Below are 23,777 nucleotides of genomic sequence, written 5' to 3'. Positions count from 1 at the left end.
CAAAGTGCTGGGATTATAGGCGTGAGCCACCGCGCCCAGCCTAATTTTTTTATTTTTTAGTAGAGACGCGGTTTCACCATGTTGGCCAGGCTGGTCTCGAACGCCTGACCTCAAGTAATCCACCCATCTCAGCCTCCCAAAGTGTTGGGATTACAGGCATGAGCCACTGCGCCTGGCAGGATGGCTGATTTAAATTGGTATTCAGTACACAGGAAATAAAAGCTAAGCAGTTTTCTTTCTGTTTCTAATTTTTTTTTTTTTAATCACCAGCAACTTGAACCATGGACCAATCATTCCTGACCACCACTTGGCAGCTGATAAGCTTATCAGAAGTATATTTCTACTAGGTCTTAGGTTAAATCCGTACTGCTTGCAACTCAAGTGTCCAGCGTCCTGCTCTTGTTCAAGCTGATCCCAAGCAGTTAGAACTGTTCACTGGAGGTGAAATGATAAACTTACCTTTATGCATGTGTAATGACTTACCACAGATTTCAAAAATATATATAAATTACATCCTCAGCCTTCCTGACATCATTTCCATTATACATCTCTGACTCATGATACCCCCCCAACTTGGATATCTAATAAGCATCCCAATCACAAAACATTCAAAGCTTAATTCTGAAACTCATCCCTCCCCAAACCTGCTCCACACTGCAGTCCTTCTTGCTATCACTATCTCACAGCAGTTCCATCCTACCAGTAGTTTAAGCCATAAACGCTGCAGTCCACCCTGACTCTCTCATACTATAACCATGCTATCAACAAATCTACCTTCAAATGAAAATCCAAATCCAAATCGCTTTTTTTTTTTACAGCAGTTTTAGGTTCACAGCAAAACCAACCATTATTTAACACCATCCATTCTGGTTCAAGCCACTGATTAAAAAATCAATGACTTAAAAAAAAGAGACTTTTTATTGCTCTTCCTGTTTCTGCCTTTGCTCCCATTATTAGTTAATTCTTCAGAGTAATCAGTGATCCTTTTAAGACATAGTTCAGATCATAACCCTTCTCTCCTCAAAACTCTCCTAAGGCTTTCCACCTCCTCAGTCTCTTCACATCAACCTCAGCTTTACAAACACACCAAGCATGATGAAATGTTAAGCTCCAAAAAGGTGGAATTGTATTTTAACGTTTTGTTCAGTGCAGCACCTCCAACACCTGTAATCACGCTTGGGACAGTATAAAAGAACAGCAAGCATAAAGCATTTTAATAAATGCTCTTGCTTCAAGGGGCTTTATAGTTGCTGTTCTCTTAGCTGGGGGTTCTCTACTCTCAGATACCTGCATGTATTCTCACTCAGCTCCTTCAGGGCTTTGCTCAGTAAGGCCTTACCAAGCACCCTACTTAAAATTCTATCACAAATTCACTTCCCCTATCCCTGTCCCCATTTTTTCTTCATAGCATTTACACCATACGTTTCACTCACTTGCATATTGTCTGCCATCTCTCATACACACAATTCTAAGGTCCGTGAGATCAAGAATGTTTATTTTCTCCACTGCTGAATCTGTAGCATCTAGAACAGTGCCTTGCAATTTGCGGATGCTTGATATTGAATGGGTACATTTTTCTATGTATATTTCAATTTATACCATTTGGGTAGTCTGAGGATTATCTTTCTGGAAAGTTTTTAAATGTATTTCCAAGTCCTCTAAGATTTTGCTCTCTATTAATAGGATTTTTATTTTGTAGGCTAAAAGTTGACTTGATAACATTGCTAGTATAACAGTAACAAATTATACTTGTTTTAACATCTCCAGCACAAAGAAACATAAAGACCCCCATCATAAGCCACATAAATACCTTAAAAACTGATAATAAACTGAAACTGATTAAACAGACAAAAATTCATTTTTAAGCTGCCTTAATGTCTTTAATGCTGCCCAGCCATACTCCAGAACAAGAAGTCTTTTTTATTTATTTAGTAAATCTTAAAGGGCAATCTGAAGTCAGAAGAGTTTAGATAATTTTTAGTGTCTCCAGTATCTACTTCAAGTATAAATAACTAAAAGCTACAGGAAAAAATATGTTCAATATCACTGGAGAAGTAAAAAATGCAAATATTTTTTACAGTATGTGATGCATTTCAAAATCATTTATGCTGGAAAACATACACAAGAGTATACACTGTTGTTATTCCATTTATATAAAATTCTAGAAAATGCAACCAATCTCTAGTGCCACACAGTAGATCAGTGGTTGCCTGGGGCTAAGGATCAAAGGAAGGAAGCATGGGGGAACCTATGCAAGGTGATGGAAATGTTCTGTATCTTGTTTGGTGATTACATAGACATCTGTCAAAACTCATCTAACTGTACAACCTAAATGGACTGAAAGATACTTATGTCATTTGTCCACCTTAGACTAGAGTAATAGTAACACAGTGTGAGCAACAATATTTACTCACACTCAGTCGATGGAAGTTTATGTTGGTACCACCTTTTAAGGAAAACATTTTGGCAATGCCAAAACTTATAATGCAACTCACAACTTATAATGAACAAAATTCTTTAAGTCAGTTAACAGTGTCTTCTAGGAAATTAAACTACACAAATATCATTCAAAGTATATTTTCAGGCCAGGCGTGGTGGCTCACCCCTATAATCCCAGCACTTCAGGAGGCCAAGGCGGGCGGATCATCTGAAGTCAGGAGTTCAAGTCCAGCCTGGCAACATGGTGAAACTTCATCTCTACCAAAAATACAAAAATTAGCTGGGCATGGTGACACATGCCCATAATCCCAGCTAAGGCACAGGAGGCTGAGGCAGGAGAATCACTTAAATGAGGGAAGTGGAGGTTGCAATGAGTCATATTCATGCCACTGCACTCCAGCCTCGGTGACAGTATCTTTTTTAAAAAAAAAAAAAAAAAAGGAAAGGAAAGGAGGGGAAGGGAAAAGGAAAAGGAAAGGGAAAGGGAAAGAGGGAAAGGGAAAGGAAAGGAAGATCTATTTGAGTGCCCTGAGTAAGCCGTGCCTGTAGTCCCAGCTACTCGGGAGGCTGAGGTATGAGAATTTTGTGAACCCAGGAGGCGGAGAGTACAGTGAGCCGAGATCAAGCCACAGCCGAGTCAGACTAGGCGACAGAGCAAGAATGTCTCAAAAAAAAACAAAAAAGAAAGAAAAGAAAAAAAAAGGCCAAACCATAGAACTGAGTGTTAAACAATTTTAAAAAGCACAAAAGAAAAATATTAATCAGGAGACCAGGAAGGTGTGGTTAACTGAAAGTAAAGACTTCCATTTTGTTCCTACTTTCTATAATTGATTTCTTCAATTTGGTCATTATAACTTAATATAAAAAGTTACTTTAAAAAATACTATTGATCCTTAGGACAAATTCTGAAAAAACTGCTGACTTCTGAAATTACATTTAAAAAGAAATCAGATCTTTCAGATTTGTGGAGGTCACGTAAGAATTCAAAAGTCTGAAATTTAAATAAGCTAACTTCTACAAAGACTGACATTTACTTTACGGGCATTAAAAAAATAACTAGGCTCTCTTTTAATTTATGAAATTCAAGCAGACACAAGCTGGGAACCTTATGACCCATTCTCCTGCAATGCTCGATGATGTCTATACTAAATTACTTGCACTGAGCCCAGCTCTCAAGAGTAAGCTATCACAGTTTTACAATCTATTACTATTTCCTAGCTACACACCTTCCTCTAAAAATAGTTTTTCTAACCAAAAAAGGCCCCCAAAATATAATAATCTTATGTACACACAAGATGCATTAGGCATGCAAATATAAATTCAGTTTTCAACAGAAATACGTAAGTTCACTGCAATTTCATAATAAAGACTAGTTAAACATAGGTATTCTTTAGCAGAAGCATCTGAACACTGAAGAGGAAAAAAGGTCCTCTGAAAGCAGCAACGCTCTGGGATCAAGACAAAACATTCAAATAAAGAAACCAGGCCGAGCACGGTGGCTCACACCTGTAATCCCAGCACTTTGGGAGGCGGAGGGGCGCAAACCACCTGAGGTCAGGTGTTCAAGACCATCCTGGCGAAACCCAGTCTCTACTAAAAATACAAAAATCAGCCCGGCATGGTAGCACGTGCCTGTAATCCCAGCTACTCGGAGGCAGAGGCAAGAGAATTGCTTGAACCTGGGAAGTGGAGGTTGCAGTGAGCCAAGATTGTGCCACTGCACTCCAGCCTGGTCAAAAGAGTGAAACTCTGTTTAAAAAAAAAAAAAGAGAGAGAGAAGAGAGAGAGAAAGAGAGAGAAAAAGGAAGAAAGAGAGAAAGAAAAAGGAAGGAAGGAGAGAGAGAAAGACGGAACGAGGGAGGGAGGGAGGGAGGGAGGGAAGGGAGGGAGGGAGGGAGAGATGGAGGAAGGGAGAAAGAAACTGGCCAGGCATGGTGGCTCATGCCTGTAATCCCAGCACTTTGGGAGGCTGAGGTGGATGGATCACAAGGTCAGGAGTTCCAGACCAGCCTGGCCAACATGGTGAAACAGTCTCTACTAAAAATACAAAAATTAGCCGGGCGTGGTGGTGTGTGTCTGTAATCCCAGCTACTCAGGAGGCTGAGGCAAGACAATCGCTTGAACCCGGGAGGCAGCAGCTGCAGTGAGCAGCGATTGTGCCATTGCACCCCAGCCTGAGCAAGAGAGAGAGATTCCATCTCAAAAAACAGGAAACCAAATACTGCATAGCTCCTTCAAAATAGTGTTTTTTAAAAAAAAAATGTTGGGCCAGGTGCAGTGGCTCGGCTCACACCTGTAATACCATGAGTTGAAGACCAGCCTGGGCAATATATTAAAAAAGCCAGCGTGGTGGTGCATGCCTGGAGGCCTAGCTACTCGGGAGGCCAACGCGACAGGGTCACTTGAGCCCAAGGCGTTTTGAAGCTGCAGCGAGCTACAATCCCGCCACTGCACTACAGCCTGGGCGACAGAGTAAGAATCTGTCTCAAAAAAAAAAAAAAAAAAAAAAGTTATTTACATCATAAAACAGGACAAAAAGGAACATTTTTAAATAAAATCAAGTAAGCCAAAATATTACATCCAATATGTAAAAACATAACATCAATAACCCTTTACACTAAGAATGTCTAAACAAACTGAAGCACAGTTCCTTTTATTAGAACTTTTGTTGTTGTTTAAAGAGGCGGGGGCCAGGCACAGTGGCTCATGCCTGTAATGCCAGCACTTTGGGAGGCAGAGGTGGGAGAATCACCTGCGGTAAGGATTTCAAGCCCAGGCTGGCCAACATGGCAAAACCCCGTCCCTACTAAAAAATACAAAAATTAGCTGGGCATGGTGGCACGCACCTGTAGTCCCAGCTACGTGGGAGGCTGAGCCACAAGAACCACTTGAAGCCGGAAGCAGAGGGTGCAGTGAGCTGAGATCACACCACTGCACTTCAGCCTCAGCAAGAGAGCAAGACTCCGTAGCGAAAAATAAAGAGGTGGGGTCTCGCTGTGTCACCCAGACTGGAATGCAGTGGTCCAATCATAGCTCACTGTAGCCTGGAACTCTTGGCCTCAAGCAATCCTCCCTTCTTACCCTCCCAAGTAGTTGGGATTACAAGCATGAACCACTATATCCGTATATAAGGTTCTTATGAAAAGGTACCTGACACTATCACAGAATGTGGCTTAAGCCAGGTCACTTCAACCCTACTACTGTTTTATCACTGTTAATTCTCCAAAGTATTTTACTGTAAAAATTACTCACCTATAATACTCATTTAACAAATTTTACAGACTATTTTGTGCCATGAATGATCATGCTAGACTGGCTGTGGCAGAAACACTGGACACAACTTTATAGTGGTATCACAATGTACATTCATGTTCTCACACTGTGAGCAGCAGTTTGGTATAGTGAAAAGAATTCTGACCTAGAAAAAAAAAAATCTGGGTTGCAATTCCTGCTCTAACCTGCTTACAAATCCTTTTCAATTTTCAGATTAACAGAACCATGTGTTAGACCACGTAAACTTGATTCAATAAATAAATTATGCAATGTAAATATTTAGTTTTTTTTAAGATGAAAATAATACATTTTACTACTATAAAACATTTTAAGGCTACAGAGCCTCATAACCATTAAATTTTAAACATATTCTAATTTTAAAAAAAACAGCAAATATATTAAAACTGCAGTGTTACAAATGCAAAATGTCCTACACCAGGTCACAAGATTCTTTAATTTAAAAACAAACTACGTACACAGGAAATTTTCTAACAATTTCTTCCCTTTTATGAATACATATTCTGTAATTTTTAGAATAGAGAAATATGTTTTAACCAAAATCCCCAAAATGTCCACTTATCTCAAAAAAAAAAAATTCAGGTGACACGATTTAACTCCTTTTTTAGAAACAAAGTATCTCCTTGTAGACCTGTACCCAACAGGCTTTGTTACACAGACATACATATCAGTTTTCATATAAACTAAGAATTTAAGTTCTTTCAGAGAACTTATGCAGAGGTATTAAAGGTTTCTTTTTTTAAGTTGTGATTAAAGAGAAAACCCTCTATCAAGTATTTTTAATACATATTTTCTCATTTTTATATTTTAAGAACCCAACATCTGTTCACCATGAATTAAGAATTCAAAGAAAAAATAAAAATGCTTTAAACAACTGTGGCAAATTCTACCGTTTTAAGAGTATTACCATATTTAAAACATTTTATTAATGTGTAAAAGGGGGAAAAAAGCACTAAGGCCAAAGATTTACTGACATACTGTTTTCAATTAGTAAAACAAATCTTAAAATATTGAGAGATAATTATTGTCCATCTTTAATTTCCTTTCATGTGAAATTCAGAAGTAACATGTGTCCACTTTAGGTAACATTTATATATAAAAAGTTTATTAGAAATATAAAAAATTTTAAATTTTACACTATTTCCACCTTAAGATTCTTTTAGATAAAGCAGATGTGCCTTACGGTTCAAACACAATCTGATGTACAAAATCTTATTTAGTTCTTAGCAAAATAAATACAGAAACACAAATGATGAAATGATGGACTATTAATAACTTTAAAAACCCACCGTAAAAGTTTCCAAAAACCACCATTTGTTGTAGGTACCTAATATGGCAGTATTTACTGTAAAATACATGAAACAGCTTTCACTAAAATTTAATGTACTGGCTTATTACCAAGATCAACATTGTCATATTAAAATGCAAGTTGTGTGGTCTAAGTTTATGTTTCCAAACTTTTTGTCAACTAGACAAAGGAATCGAAAACTTTTTCTTAAAGGACCAGAGACAGGCTGAGTATCCCTTATCCGAAATGCTTGGGACCAGAAGTATTTCAGATTTTTGATTTTTTTCAGATTTTTGAGTATCTGCATATACATAATGAGACTCAGAAATGCGATCCAAGACTAAACATAAAGTTCATTTATATCTCACAAACACCTTATACACATAGACTGAAGGTAATTTTATACAACAGTTTTAATAATTTTGTGCATGAAACAAAGTCTTAATTGTTTTGACTATGACCAGTCACATGAGGTCAGGCGTGGAATTTTCCACTTGCAGCATGATGTCAGCACTCAGAAAGTTTTGAACTTTGGAGCATTTTTTATGTCAGATTTTTGGATTAGGGATTGCCAACCTGTAGTAAAAATTGGGGGCTTGCAGGACCTAAGGTCTCACCACTCAATTCTGCCACTGCAGGAGAAAGCAGGCATAGACAACATATAAATGGGTATGCTTGTGAGCTGTAGTTTGCTTGATGCTGAACAATACATAAATTCTGGACAACAGACTTATTATTTCAGGTGTCATATTTGAAGGTAGGAGCAACAATACAGATGGGCAGACATTAATAAATGAAAACCACAAATTAAAATTTTCACACTTATTACCCAGTCATAATTGGATGTTATGTGTATATATGTATACATACAAGTTATAAAGCTAGCTCATTTCAATTCCATATTCTTTTTGGTGTGTTAACAGTATCAAACCAACATCAGATAAGCAGCAAAAGGATTATGATTGATTGAGTACTCAGAAGTTAATCAAGGATCACGAAATCTGGTTTTGACATCTAAGTATTTCTACACAATGAAAAAACTTATTTACTGTGCTCTATATAGAAAATATCAGATGTATCTTTTCAGGTGTCATTTTAAAATTCAATTGAATTGTTACAATTTGAAGCTAAATGTGATTTGCTTTGTTTTATTAGAAAAAATACTCAAGCAAGGTCTACAATCATTGGTCAATTAAGAATGACTTACAAGAACATGAGGCAATAAAATAAAAATACAGGTACAAACTATGTATCTGAAACACTTCTATTTGGCAATTTTATAACAAATCAAATTTTAAAAAGAACAAAAGAGATTGCAGATTACTTCGCAGATACAGAATAAAGCAATTGATGAAGTGCTTAAGCAAAAGAAAACAACAAAAAAAGAAAACACACTGCTTTTCTTTTTAAAAATAAAATCACATTGCTATAGATCAAATGGATAATACCCTTATTAAACAACCATTCCAGAATGTCTTATAGTAGCAGTGCTTTTATTTGCACTTCACTTAATTTTATAAGACTCATTTTCATGTATATAGCTCTTTACCCCCATTGTTAACGAATAAAGTCTCTCATAATTTTTACACTTTTAAATTTTTTAAAGCAAATGAGAAATGATTTATGTATCGTGGAACCTTTCCCATTTTGGAACCAAAGGTTTTAATTCTATATTTTTGTCTAATATTTCTTTAAAAAATTTAGTGTAAAAACTGCTGGTTTTTATATCACTGTAGTAAAGTGAAAACTCCTCAACCAGGAGTATTTTCTGCAGTTTCACTGCATATAACCACATACTTTACAATGTCCTTCCAACAGTAAGGAAATAACTGATTTCTTGATCACTGTCAGAAATGAGTGCCATAATTCTATTATGGGTATAGGTCCTCCCTCAAAGACTTTCTGGAAGGATGTTCAATGTGTTTTGTTCTTAGAGATATTAACAGTAGTACATAGTCCCTTAAGTCTGTGAAAGACATTTATTGTTAAAGAAGGTGCTTTTATTAACAATTCCTCTGGCAGCACTAGTGAAGTACAATATCCTTCAATATTATTTCTACCATAATATATACATTTAACTTTCATGCCTCTAGAAAACATCTACAGTACATTTCAAAATATAAAAATATATTACAAATCTGCTGAATTATTTACAAGCAATGTTCTATTATCTCTATGCAACATTTGTTTAATACAATACTAACAAGTTACACATATTTCCATTTCTGTAAGTTAAAAAAAATCGATATGGCTTCTTGCTTACCAAGCAAGAAAGTGATTTTATTTTCCTTTTCAAGACCAACTTTGGTGCATAAAAGATTCAGTTTGAAGATACTTGTAAAAAAAATACAATTTTTCTTACATTAAGAAAAAACAACTCAAAAACCAAATGATTTCCTCAGAAAAAAAATTAGAGTCATATAGGTTAAATGAAAATATGAAGATTATTCAAATAATTTGAAAGGTTTTTCAAAAACCGTTAACAGATTAGTTATATAGGTAAATATTAACATACTGTACTCCATGAGAAAGCCCTAGTCCTGAAAAGGGAGCCACCAGACATACTGCAACACTCTTTAACAGTAATTTTCAGCCCTAATTCGATAGACGAATTTTTAGTTGATTGCAAACGTCGTTCACTGTTTGCTTAAATACAAATTGAACACTTTTCTTATCAGAGTTCTGCAAAAGAACACAAATGGCAACCAATCACATCTATTTATCATAATTGAAAGGTAAATTATCTCTTGATAATTTTCATTGTCTAAATATTTCCTAATATGACTTCAAATCAATAAACACTGTCAAGACAAATATCCTTACAGTGCTTTTGGTATTTGTAAGGGCACATGTTGTAATTGTTTTTCTTTCCAATATAAACTACTGAAATCACTAAAGGGAAGAAAAGAAAAAAAAAAGCAGCTTAAAGCAGCAAGCATGCAAAGCCTTTAAGAAGCTGTTCTACTAAGTTGCCAAAAGAGTGTTTGCTCAGTCTCCCACAGTACCATTCCATGAAAATGTGGATATACAGTAATATATTAATATATTCCACCGAAGAGTCTACTTCATTCACAGAATGTTTACACTAAGCATAAATATTATCCTAAATACTGGATTTAAAAAAAAAAAAAAAAAAAAGAAGGGGTTGACTCTAATGTGCAACTTTCCCTAAACCCATTGTCAGTGACTAAGACTGCAGGTGTCCCCGCTTGTTTGCTTTTTATGTATTTATTTATTTTTTACCTCTTCAACCTCTTCTGCGGCATTGTTCTAGAAAAAGAGAAAAAGAAATCCTTTTATTCAACTGAATCAAACACATTTGAGTGCTTCAAGAGACATTAAAAATATTAATAAGATACAGGCAATGTGATGATCATAGATTATAATAAAAATGTATTTCCAAAACATTTATACATATGGATCTATACTTAGTTACATAATATAGTTGTTTAATAAAAGTTTTAAATGTAGCCTGCTAGTGCATTTCTAAGAAAGAATTCCATGTGTAATACATATATTTTAGCCAACTAATACTTTAAAACTGATGCTTGGCTGGGTCCCAGAGGCTCATGCCTGTAATCTTCCCAGCACATTGGGAAGCCAAGGCAGAAAGACTGCTTGAGCCCAGGAGTTCAAGATGAGCCTAGAAACAGAGAGAGAAGTGGTCTCAAAAACAACAAACCCCAGTGCTTAAATCCCAAATAAATACAGTTGTCTCTCGGCATGCACAGTGGGAGTGGGGGGTCCCCAGAATCCCCTGCAGATTCCAAAATCCAAGGAAACAGCAGTATTTGCAAATAACCTACATACATCCTTCTGTATACTTTAAATCACCTCAAGATTACTTATAACAATATAATATAAATGCTATGTAAATCATTGTTACACTATATTGGTCTTATTTGTATTATTTTGTATTGTTGTATTGTTATCTTTTTCCCCTAAATAGCTTTGATATGCAGTTGGTTGAATTCATGGATGTGGAAGTTGTGGATACACAGGACCAACTGTATATTCCTGTTAGACTCATTTTGAAGGAATATATCTATTTTGCAGAAGGTTTGCCATACTTTCATTTTGACATGTGCACAAGCAGGAAGTTATTTCTCCTAAAAACAAGTAAGAATAATTGTTTTTCTTCTTTTAATTAATTTCACAAATTTTCCCAGTCAAAATCCAGAAATTTAAGAAAAGATTGTACACTAGGACAAATGTAGGGGCTTCTATGACTCTATGCCACTTTACAGTACACTCAATTCTGATTTCCAGAATAGTGAAAGCACAGAGGTTTAGAGTCAAAATTAAGTTTTAAGATGGCCTTTTTTATTTTTTGGACAGACTCTTGCTCTGTAGCTGAGGCTGGAGTGTAGGACGTGATCTCGGCTCACTGCAACCTCCGCCTCCTGGGTTCAAGTGATTCTCGTGCCTCAGCCTCCAGAGTAGCTGAGATTACAGGCGTGCAACACTACGTCCGACTGATTTTTGCATTTTTAGTTGAAACAGGGTTTCATCATGTTGGCCAGGCTGGTCTCAAACTCCTGGCCTCAAGTGATCCACCCACCTCGGCCTCCCAAAGTGTTGGGATAATGGGCGTGAACCACCTCACCGGGCCAAGACGGCTTTTTTGATACAGGTAAGGAAAATTAAATCTACAGAAGCACCTAATATATCTTAAGAACAACCTCATTTCCAAGAATAAAATCAACAAGACTTGTGGAATCACACACATAAATTTGAGTATATGCAACATTGTTCCTATGCACTTCAGAACATCAGTTCAAGCTTAAATTTTGTTTTAAGTCACTTTCACTAAAATGTCTAAATTGCTTCCTATATGGCATAAGAACAGAAAAAAAATAAGCTGGTTTGGTGAGAAAGCAAGACTCTTGGAAAGAAGGAAGCAGGATGCAGGCAGAAACACAGATTAATCTTAATTTAAGATTCATGGCCCTTTGACAACTCTCTAAGAGAGGTTTACGACTAGTTCTAAAAGGCAAGAGTGGCTCTCCCAAAATATCACTCTTTTAGGATGCTAATTTTAATTCATCTCTCCAAAGAGTAAACAGAAATAACTCTAAATTAGGTACAAATAAATCAACAACACTCAATTATTTTTCTTTATAGAGAAGTAACTCGTAACCTTCCCAAATTTTTGGTAGATTACTCTCAATCTTCTTCTCCTTGATGATCTAGTTCATTCCACAAAGAATAAGTTTTATTGTATTAATTAGCACTTTCACCAAAAGATGTTTGAGAAGAAAAAAATTTTTTTGAGACAGGTTCTCGCTCTGTCAGCCAGGCTGGAGTGCAGTGGTGTAATCCTGGCTCACTGCAGCCTCGAACTTCCAGGCTGAAGCAATCCTCCTACCTCAGCCTCCTGAGTAGCTGGGACCACAGGCATGTGCCACCATGTATTTTTTGTAGAGACAGGGTCTCACTATGTTGCCGAGGCTGGTCTCGAACTCCTAGACTTCAGCGACCTGCCCACCTCAGCCTCCCAAAATGCTGTGATGATAGGCATGAGCCACTGGGCCCAGCCAAAAAAACCTTTTATTGTAATAGGGAAAACTATGCTTCTACATAGCAATGCCCATTATGTTGGAATTTCACTCACAGAATAATGTCTCAAATTACAGGAAATCTCCAGGTGAATAGCACTCCAAAAAGGTGCATCGTGGAATGAATATACCCTTCAAAGCACTTAATTAATATAAAATTTGCTATCTTTATGATAGCTAAAATTTACAAAGTTTCATTGAAAAAAGATATAAAGTCCTTTCAATAAGAGTGCCTTTTAAAAGCTGGTTTTAAGCATTTCCACCACTTTTTTAATCACTCTCGTGTACATCATTTGGATACAGGCACTATGGAGTTCAACCACATTCGTGCAAACTTGGGCAGATTAACTATTTAACCTCTTGCCTCAGTTTTCCAACCTGTAAAGCAGAGATAGTAAAACCTACTTCACAGAGCAGCCGTGAGGATGACGTATACGCAAAGCACCTAGCAAAGTGACTCAGCACATAAAAGAGAAATGTTGGTCTCTTCTCCTTCCCCCACATACCTTCATAAGCACAGCACACTAAAAAAAGCTCAAAACATAAAATTACTAGAAATGTGAACACTCTAAGCTATGTCTTAAAAAACAAATAATATTTGAATTGCTCTTTTGGAAAGTTTGGAGAAAGGGTAAGCTAAAAAAAATCAAACAGTTTTGGTATTCAGACTCATGCAACATATTCTTAGGTCCACAAAAGTCTGTTATTATAAAAAGAATTACCTTGTTAAAGGGCACTTATTTTCAAATTACTATGTATATTACAATCTAACATACTTAAGATAAATCTGGGATTAAACAAGCATATAAACTTTATTAGCAAAATACTGTTTTTCTGGATTCTACAATTTTTAACTCTTTGTGAGTCCACATCCAAAAAAAAAAAAGCCAGGAAGTAATGAGATATGCTTGGTATTAAAATTCAGCACTTAAAACTAAGTCCTAATTTATCCAAAATTTGGGGAGAGAAAATTACAAATCAAAAAGTAAAACATAAAGGCAAGAATTAAATTACCTGTATATGTTTGGGTCCAAAAGCAAGGCAGTATCTTTGGGTAGCTTTGATAAATGAACTACTTTAGTTTTTAACTGATGTCGTTCACTTTCATTCACCCACACATCAGGCAGACTATGAATTAAAAAACAAGTCAATAATAAAGTAACATTAATTTTAGATTTACACTTCCATGTGCCTTCACATTCTGGCATTTTCTGCTACTTTGATCAGTCCACGTTAAGTGAACAAGTTTCCCAGAAGCCAGGGAAGCTCAGCTATCAACCTTAATAGCAGGACTTGGAGTCCCAGATAAGAAATGGCAGTGTTAAATTTTAAACATGAATTGAGGAATAAATTAAACATTTTCAGTGGCAATATCTTATCAAATTAGAAATTTGTCAGAACACACTGGCTAGCTTTTAACTCAATGAGTGAAATTCATACTTGATTTTGACTTGCTGGAAATCTGACAGCAAGTTTCTTTACTAAGAGAGAAATAAAAGGGCCCAGTGCGGTGGCTCCTTCCTCTAATTCCAGCACTTTGGGAGGCCAAGGGGGGAAGATAACTTGAGCCCAGGAGTTTAAGACCACACTGGCCAACATGGTGAAACCCCATCTGTACTAAAAATACAAAAATTAGCTGGGCATGGTGGCGCACACCTGTATTCCCATCAACTCCGGAGAACGAGGCACAAGAATCGCTTGAACCCAGGAGACAGAGGTTGCAGTGAGCCAAGAGTGCACCACTGCACTGCAGCATGGGCGTCAAAGTGAGACTCTCTCTCCAAAAAAAACCAAAAAAACAAAAAACAGAAACAAAACCTGTAAGATTAAAGTCCATTTAAAAAAAAAAAAAAGAAATAAATAAAAACCCTGTAAGACTAAACTCCATTAAAAAAAAAAAAAAAAATGCATGCGGCCATAACACTGAATTCAAAGAAATTCAACTCTACAAGAAAATTCAAATGAATGTATTTTGATATTTGGATTAATCAATTTCCAAAACATTAGGAATATACACATTTGAATTTGACTTTTTTGAACAGGGTCTCACTCTGTCACCCAAGCTTGAGTTGCAGTGGTACAATCACGGCTCACTGCAGCTTCAACCTCCTGGGCTCAATCAATCTTCCCGCCTCAGTCTCCTGAGTATCTGGGACTACAGGCGACACCATCACAACCAGCTAATTTCTTTTTTTGTTTTCCTGTAGAGACGAGGATTCACTATACTGCCCAGGCTGATCTCAAACTCCTGCCCTAAAAGCAATCTTTCTGCCTCAGCCTCACAAAGCACTGGGATTACCAGCATAAACCACTGCGCCCAGCCATTGGCCACATACGTGAATTAGGTACACATAATGAAATCTCCTTCAATGAAATTTATTCTATTCTTGATGCTTATTAATTTTGTCCAATATGTCTATAATATACCCTCATTTCCTTTTATAAAAAGAAAATTTTAATAAGAAAGATAAAAAAATACATGAAATATATGAACTAAGCTCTAAATGGGCACTAAAACTTAAAGAAAAATGTAATCACTGCTAGAAAATTAGTCAATTGCTTTTTCTATAAAATACCATTCACTGTGCACTAAAGAACATTTACAAATTTTTTAAATAAAAGATTCAAACAAAGGCACAGCTATGGCTGCTTGTATACTGCTTGGAGGTCACTAAAAATGCTAAAAATGATTTAAATTTTCTCTAACTACTTTTTTATTTTTGAGACAGAGTCTCACTGATGCCCAGGTTGAGCATCTCAAAAAACAAAACAAAAAAACAAAAACAAAACAAAAAACACCACACAAGATTTAAAAAGCTTAAGATTTTTGTTTGTTTTGTTGTTTTTGTTTTTGAGACAGTCTCACTCTGTTACCCAGGCTAGAATGCAGTGGCATGATCTCGGCTCACTGCAACCTTTGCCTCCCGGGTTCAAGTGACTCTCGTGCCTCAGCCTCCCGAGCAGCTGGGATTATGGGTGCGCACCACCACACCCGGCTAATTTTTGTATTTTTAGTAGAGACAGGGTTTTACCACGTTGGCCAGGCTGGTCTCGAACTGCCGGCCTCCCCCAGCCTCCCAAAGTGCTGGGATTACAGGTGTGAGCCACCGCCTCCAGCAAAAAAAAAAAGAGGGGGGGCTTAAGTTTTGAAGCGTAAAACGTGAACCTGATAGTGTAAGACCTTTCAGATTATCTCTTTAATCCTGACAACCTCAAAACGTTGTAAAATGTAATTTCTTTTTATTTGAATTTAATAAATAATTTTTGTGTGTAAGATTTTAACAAAAATAAAACATGAACTTATTACTAAGGCATAATATTTCAAATACTTACATGTCTTCAGGCATCCAATGAAGCAAAAGTTTGATCTTCCCAGAATCTTCTTTTCTCTTAGCTATTACCTGATAATGACATGAAAAGAAATCATAAAAACAATGTGTAAAACATCATTTTCATGTATTGTTAAAAAACACTTTTGGGGCTGGGCGCGATGGCTCATGCCTGTAATCCCAGCACTTTGGGAGGCCAAGGCGGGTGGATCATAAGGTCAGGAGTTTGAGACCAGCTTGGCCAATATGGTGAAACCCCGTCTCTACTAAAAACACAAAAATTAGCCGGGAGTGGTGGTGGGCTTCTGCAGTCCCAGCTACTCAGGAGGCTGAGGCAGGAGAATCACTTGAACCCAGGAGGTGGCGGTTGCAGTGAGCCAAGATCACGCCACTGCACTCCAGCCTGGGCAAGACTCCATCTCAGAGAAAAAAAAAAACTTTCACCCCTAATCAAGAACTTAAGTGTTCATACCCTGGAAGAGATAGTAATCCTGCCTGCTTTGTAGTTCTTCCCTGTCTTGTAGCACTCAAACCTTTGTCTTTCCCACAAGACTGAAAACTCCATGACACAGGAATATTTCTTATCCTGTGAACCTTTGTGTCATACCACCTATAGTAGTGTTTAGTATAAAATAAATTAATTGTTTGGAAATCTATCCTAAAAAAAAAAACCTAGATTCAGTAAAAGCTCTGTGGCCAAGGATGTTTGTGTTACAGTGAACACCTTCGAGCACTTCAGGCCCAAAAAGGGGACAGCAAATATTCCAACACTAAGATCTAGGAACTGTACTCATTAATACCCATTCTCTCCATCCAAGCTGCCATAAACCCAAGTTCAGGTCTCCATTCTTCTGGACCTCCTCAAGTCATCAAAGCTACCTCCCACTCAGTGCCCAGAAGGCTTTTTCCAAAGTACAAATTCAGTAGCATCACTTTCCTGACAAACTCTTCAACAGTTCCCCCGAGCACTTAGGAAAGGGTCACTCTTAGTATGGTGCAGAAAACTCTTCAGGATCTGGCCTCTCTAGGCCTCAGCTATTTCATGGTTTTCTGCCTTGAACGCCTTTAGCCTCATACTGAGAACAGTTTCCCAAACTATGGAACATAATAGAAATACTGTCCTGCTCTCTAACTTAATGGAACAACCAACTCTCCGGGGCTTTCTGTGCACCAGCAGCATTAATGTTTTACAGAAGAACAGTTATCATATTCAGATACCATTTTAGAGTGCTGGGCACACAACAGTAAAACAAAACAAATCCCACTCTACTAAAACTAAAGACTTATTTATATGAAAACTGGAGTTCATAGCTTTTGGAAGGCTTACTAAAGGTCATTTCCTCAGTAGCTCACGCCTGCAATACCAGTACCTTGGGAGGCCAAGGTGGGAGGATCACCTGAGCCCAGGAGTTCTAGACCAGCCTAGGCAACATAGGGAGATCCTGTCTCAATACAAAAAATTAGCCAGGTTATGGTGGTGCTTGCCTGTAGTCCCAGCTACTTGGGAGGCTGAGGTGACAGGATCACCTGCCCAGGAGCTGTGACTGCGCCACTGCACTCCAGGCTGAGCAACAGAGGCCCCACCTCAAAAAAAAAAAAAAAAAGTCACTACCTTAAAAAGCGATGTACTGCAGAATTACAGTAAAAATTGAGAACAAAAACTGTAACATGTCTCATTAGGGTATCTCTAATAGCTTTTCAATTGTCTACAAGTTCTGGCTCCGCTTTAATAAATAAAAGCTGCAAACCATTAGATTATGTACACATTTAAATGTGTTTTATTCAAGAAATGTGACCAGAAACCCCAATTAACATATCTAGACTCCAAAGTATGACTTTGGCTCTATATAAAACAAATTACTAAACATTCATTTACATATTCAGCAAAAATGTTTAAGTTACGTACGCTTCATTTTTTGATTACTCATTTTAACTCAGGCAATTAACCTAGGCAACTATAGGTCTCAGTTAAGTCAAATAAAATTCACATCAAATTTTTACTCCCACCATCCCAACACTTTCCTGCCTGGCATATGCCGTGTCTGCCCATGCGCATACACAATTATACATAGGACACATGCATTATCACCTTTTCTGCGTTGCCCCTCCCCCACAACTCCAATAATGGGTGAAAAGTCTCTAGTCCATGTCTTCAAAATGCTGAGTGCTTACTCTACATTAGCATGTATTACACCGTACTGCCATTGCTTTATGTGCCTACCTTCCCTCACCGAGTGTGGAATGTAGAATATGGTAGACAATTCAGTCTCTACCTTAGGTACTAACCCAAACATTTCCAATAAATGGAGAATGCAATGCAATATACTGGAATACTATGCAGTCATTTAACATTGGGTTTACACACACACTAATAAAAACAAGTGATAGGTGGGCAGAACACTTGAGGTTAGAAGTTTGTGACCAGCCTGGCCAACATGGTGAAACCCTATCTCTACTAAAAATATAAAAATTAGCCAGGTGTGATGGTGCACGTCAGTAATCCCAGCTACTCAGGAGGCTGAGGCAGGAGAATTGCTTAAACCTGGGCAGCGGAAGCTACAGTGAGCCGAGATCATGCCACTGCACTCCAGTCCAAGCAACAAAGTGAGTGAGACTCCATCTCAAAAAAAAAAAAAAAAAAAAAAAAAAGAAAGTAGCCATGTTACTAATATTATCGAAGTAAAAGGTTTTTCAACAACCCTGTCTCAATTTCACTTTTATTTTTCAAGCCAAAGTCTCACTCTGTCACCCAGGCAGTGCAGTGACATAATCTCAGCTCACTGCAACCTCTGTCTCCTAGCCTTGAGTATTCTTCCCGCCTTGGCCTCCTGAGCAGCCAGAACCACAGGCGCAGCCACTACGCCTAGGTATGTCTTTTTTATTTTTTCTAGAGACGGGGTTTTACCATTTTGCCCAGGCTGGTATCAAACTCCTGAGCTCAGCTGATCTGCCTACCTCAGCCTCCCAAGTGCTGAGATTACAGGTGTGAGCCACAGCACCCAGCCTCAACTTCACTTTTAATCATATATTTTCACAAATATATGTGAATTAAAGAAGCTTTAACTAATCAAGCCAAAGCCATGTTATTATTAAGAGAATGAAAATGCCATTTGTTTTACTAAGTATGTGGCTTAGCTTAGCCAACCAAAAGCATTCATAGTAGATGAAATTTTTTCAAGTCTTTTCATTTTTATTACTTAAAAAAGTTGCATTTTTCAATTTAGCTGACTCTGTGCTTGTGCCTTCAACACTTACACCCCAATTTTCTACTCCTTAATAAGGAAAGCATGTTTGATCCTGTCACAAACACATTTAGCACACATGGAACCACCACAGGCCCTGCTGACATGTTCTTTGCTTTGGACAATCTCATTAAGAACTTTAGGTCTCACAGCACGAACCCCTCCATGTCTGCCTGGGCACATGCCACATGCAGATTTTGGTGCTTTCCCAACGTTCTTAGTAAAAAGGTAAACAACTCTATTACCAAGGGTCTGGGACAGACTTGTTTTGTTAGAGGCTGTATTGTAGAAAAGCCTACGACAGTATGTCAAATGCTGGACCATTCTGAGTGCCTGCAGACAACGTTCCGGAAGAGGAAGAAGAAAGCCTTTGAAATATTTTTAAATGAATAAACAGTAAAGAAAAAATACTAATGAGAAGGAAAAGTCTCTAATTTACAACTTAAGGCATTTGTTTATCTCCTGGAGTTTTTTGCTGTAGTTGGTTTTATTTTAAATGAAAGGTAGGCCAATCAGTCTAGGTTTAAGCTTAAGGAATCTATGCAAGTTAACATCGATCTAACAGAAAGACCCAAAAAAGTATAAGAAAAGCAATATATTTTCCTTTCATTACCAGATTCTGAAAATTAAGATAATGCTTAAATAAAATAAAATCAGGCAAAACAATAACGTCAAACTCTTAAAATTTCCATATAAACAAAATTAGAACTTTAGTGTTTTAATAGTCTTAATCTCAATTTTTTTAATCAAGTTCCAACCACCCAAACAAAATAATCTTGTAATCCTGAAAACATATTAGGACTGAGTAAAAGCAGAGCTTTAAGCAAAAACAAAACACTGTCTCCACTATATAAAAACCTATGGTGAGGCCAGACGCAGTGGCTCACACCTATAATCCCAGCACTTTGGGAGGCTGAGGCAGGAGGACTGCTTGAGCCCAGGAATTCGAGGCCAGCCTGGACAACATGGTGAATCCCCGTTTCTAGTTTTTATTTTTTAAAATATGGTTTTTTTAAAAACAACAAAAAAAGTCTGTAGTCAAATAAATACTCTGATTCTAGACTTGGCAACAAAATTTAAAAGCCCAAACACAGGTCTGGAGCTGCTAAAACAAAATACCTCTACAATGAAATAATACACAAAAACAATGCAAGCCAACCAAGCACAGCAAGCCAACTGATTGGTAACTAGGATTTTGCTGACCTCTTCTGGAGAAGGCTCGAAAGAAAATATTTCAATTAATGAAATAAGGCACATTAGGCAAACCAAACAGTATAGTACCTCATAGCCTTCTTTTAACCAATTGTTTCATTATTTGTATTATTTTCTATAAAAGTTAATTTGATAACAAAGTAACTTAAATTTGCAGTTAGTACTGAATGTTTTTTACTACTAACAGAATTGATTCTGTTTAACATGTACTGCCTCCATCAAAACCTTCCCAGTTATAGAACTTTGGAGCTCCAATTTGCTCACCTAGCTCCTTTCCTTTCTATTGTGTCCAGCGAAGACCTTATCTCATTATGGATGTCTCTTCCTTCCACTTTCCTTCCCCAGGAAAAAAAATCATTCTTCAGATTACATTCCACCTTTGTGACTTTTCCTCAGTTAAGGTACCTCTGCCTCCTCACTGTGACTTAAGGGTGGACATCACTCATTCCTAGGTTTTTAAGCTTACAATATATGTAAGTGTCAATGTTCTTAAGCCCTCTCAGATGTTTTCCATAGCTCAAAAGCTTTTCATTTTCATGGACTATTTTGAGTCTGCGCAAATTTTTTATTTTCTTTCTAGACTTCTAATATTATTACCACTATTTTTGGTTCCTTCATTTTCCTTCTTTTGGAGCCATCGCTATTCCTCCCATGGTGAAGCTAAGGATTTCATCAAAAGGAGCTGCTCTAATGAAAGCATATGCAAGTTAGTGCTTCCCTTTTACATCACTTCTCCCTTATCTGTAGAGACACTAGCTCATTACTAGACCACCATTTCACTAAATCTATTGCCCTTTAAATCATTAAATGTTTGGTAAGCCCCAAACACTTCAATCCTTATGCTAACTTTCTCTTTATTTACACTTATTTCCTAGGTAATCTCATCCAGTCTGATACCTATAAATACCACAAATACACTAAAAATTCCCATATTTTCTATCTGTAGCCACACCTCTCTCCTCTGAGCTCTCAATTTATAGCCATCAGCCTAAGTGACAGAGCCACTGAATGCCCTATAGGCCTCTAAATATGTCCAAATTAGATCTCTTGATACTCCCCTCTCCCCAATCTGCTTGCCTGAGAGCCTCCACGGCTCTGCCACGGAGCTGCCCAGGCCAAAAAGCCTTGGAGTTGCTGTTACCTCTTATTCTAAAACCCAGTATCTCATCCATCCATAATTCTTGTCCATAGTAACTCCAAAAGATAACCAGAATCCAACCCTTATCTCCACTGCAAACATTCCAGTCTAAGCCACTATCATTCTCACTTGAAATACTGAAAAGACAAATTCCCCTTTACTCTCACCCCTGACTTTCTACAATTTGTTCTCAACACAGAAACCAAAGTGAACATGTTAAAGCCTGCATGAGGGAAAAGAACAACAGTAGGTTTTCTAGGGCAGGAGGTGGAGGTAGGAATGTACTACAAAGCTACACCAGAAAACTTCAGAGTGCTGGAACTATTCTATCTTAACTGTGGTGGTGCTTGCCTCAGTGAGTACAACTTTCAAAACTCACAGAAATGTATACTTTCAATGGGTACAGTTTATTATATATAAATTGTACCTCAATAAAAATTATTGACAGCAAGTTTCTTTACTAAGAGAGAAATAAAAGGGCCAGGCACCGTGGCTCATGCCTGTAATCCCAGCACTTTGGGAGGCCAAGGTGAGTGGATCACTACAGTTCAGGAGTTCGAGACCAGCCTGGCCAACATGGCGAAATCCCATCTCTACTAAAAATACAAAAATTAGCTGGGCATGGGGACGCTAATTTAGTACAGTCCCAGCTACTAGGGAAGCTGCAGCACAAGAATCACTTGAACCTGGGAGGCAGAGGTTGCAGTGAGCCAGTATGGTGTCACTGCACTCCGGCCTGGGTGACACAGCAAGGCTCTGTCTCAAAAAGATATTATATATATTATTTTAAAAACTAGGCCAGGCACGGTGGCTCACTCCAGCACTCTGGGAGGCAAAGCCAGGAGGATCACTTGAGCCCAGGAGTTTGAGATCAGCCTGGGCAACATAGCAAGATGTCATCTCTACAAGAAAAAATAAAAAAAAAACTCAAAAAATTAGCCAGGCATCGTGGTGTGCTCCTACAGACCAAACTACCTGGGAGACTGAGGAGAGAGGACTGCTTGAGCCCAGGAGTTTGAGGCAACAGTGAGCCATGATGATACCACCACATTTCACCCTGGGTGACACAGTGAAACTCTGACTCAAAAAAACAAAACAAACAAACAAACAAACAAAATCAGACCATGCCTATTCAACCCCCTTCAATGGCTTCCCATCTCACACAGAATAAAAGCTAAGGTCTTAGTCCACCAAGGTTCTGCCTATTACCTCTCAAACTTAACTCCTACTCTCTCCTCTTCCCTTGTTCCCTCCAGCTACGCTGCCTACTCTGCCTACTCACTGTTGTCCCACCTCAAGATGTTACACCTCATCTTCCCTCTAGCTAAAATGCTTATACCCCACTAATAATTGAATGGCTTATGCCCTCATTACAAGTTTTTACAATTTTACTAATTTATCTTGTTTTATCATGTCTCTTCCATTAGAGTAGCTGCATGGTATTTTTTGTTTGGTTGGTTTTAATCTGTTTTGTTCACTGCTATGTCATTACATTAGTACCTGGCTCACAGTAGGTGCTCAATATTTAATGATCACCTTAATATTTAAAACAGTTTAATAAGTGAATGAACAAACTAGCTCTGATGCCACACTCTGGACATGGTGACAACATCTTACTGACCTGTTAAAACAAAAAAAATCTGTATTACAGACCTACCATATCATAAAACTATGTTCCCAAATTTCAAAGGAGGACTTCAACCAGCCTCGGTGAGCAAGGCTCTAACCTTGCTGAATCCCCACAAAGTCCCCAGAGCAGCCATATTAACTCTTTCTGGTCTCCAAATCCTGTATTTTACCCGCCAACTCTTTCATCCTTATTTAGATAAATGTATTTCCTATGTTATTTAAAAGAGAATAAGGACACCTTTCCTCAAATTCATGTCTCTTGTGTCTTCCAATCTCAGAAAAAGTCTCCTTTCCTTTGCATCTAATTTTCCACTTTCTTGCCTTTGACTCCAAATTTTGTTCTATCACTCTCTCCTTTATATCCTTATCTAATTTCTAAAATATACAATTCTACCTTTAAATATTCTAAAACTTGAGTGGAATGTACTGATACCTATTGCTCCATTTTCTATCTTGCCTTTTTTTAAATAAAGTTATTTAATAGTGTCCATTTAATTGGTATATTTGCTGTCAATAAATTGGCAACACAAGGAAGAACAAAAGGGTGAGCTCCTAACCAGGCTCTCCTGCCAGGCTCAAGCAGGATCTATCTTCCCTGTAGTATCACACATATCAATCTAAATACCACAAGAGTTCTCATCCTGGAATCCA

At 37.6% G+C, this 23,777-nt stretch overlaps 1 protein-coding gene and 1 pseudogene across 7 annotated transcripts in view; both read right to left on the bottom strand.

Annotated features, from left to right (window-relative positions):
* Positions 1–6,147: 6,147 nt before the first annotated feature.
* AEBP2 (AE binding protein 2) overlaps positions 6,148–23,777 on the bottom strand; it is a 118,156-nt gene continuing 100,526 nt past the window's right edge. For 5 of the 7 annotated variants that reach the window (XM_047428299.1, XM_017018806.2, NM_001114176.2 and 2 more), the window contains exons 6-9: positions 15,910–15,977; positions 13,591–13,704; positions 10,262–10,288; positions 6,148–9,700 (exon numbers count right to left, since the gene is read on the bottom strand). In XM_047428299.1, the coding sequence (XP_047284255.1) occupies positions 9,655–9,700; positions 10,262–10,288; positions 13,591–13,704; positions 15,910–15,977 (255 nt within the window). In that variant the 3' untranslated portion in view covers positions 6,148–9,654. Of the gene's footprint in view, positions 10,289–13,590; positions 13,705–15,909; positions 15,978–23,777 lie in introns of all 7 variants that reach the window. The other 2 variants (NM_153207.5, NM_001363736.2) reach the window with 2 other exon arrangements.
* On the bottom strand, positions 19,084–19,520 carry RPL34P25 (ribosomal protein L34 pseudogene 25; annotated as a pseudogene).

The sequence above is a fragment of the Homo sapiens genome, chromosome 12 (assembly GCF_000001405.40).
Source record: "Homo sapiens chromosome 12, GRCh38.p14 Primary Assembly".
Lineage (NCBI taxonomy): Eukaryota > Metazoa > Chordata > Mammalia > Primates > Hominidae > Homo > Homo sapiens.
Note: the sequence above shows the minus strand (reverse complement) of the source record. Positions and strands in the feature narration are given on the sequence as shown.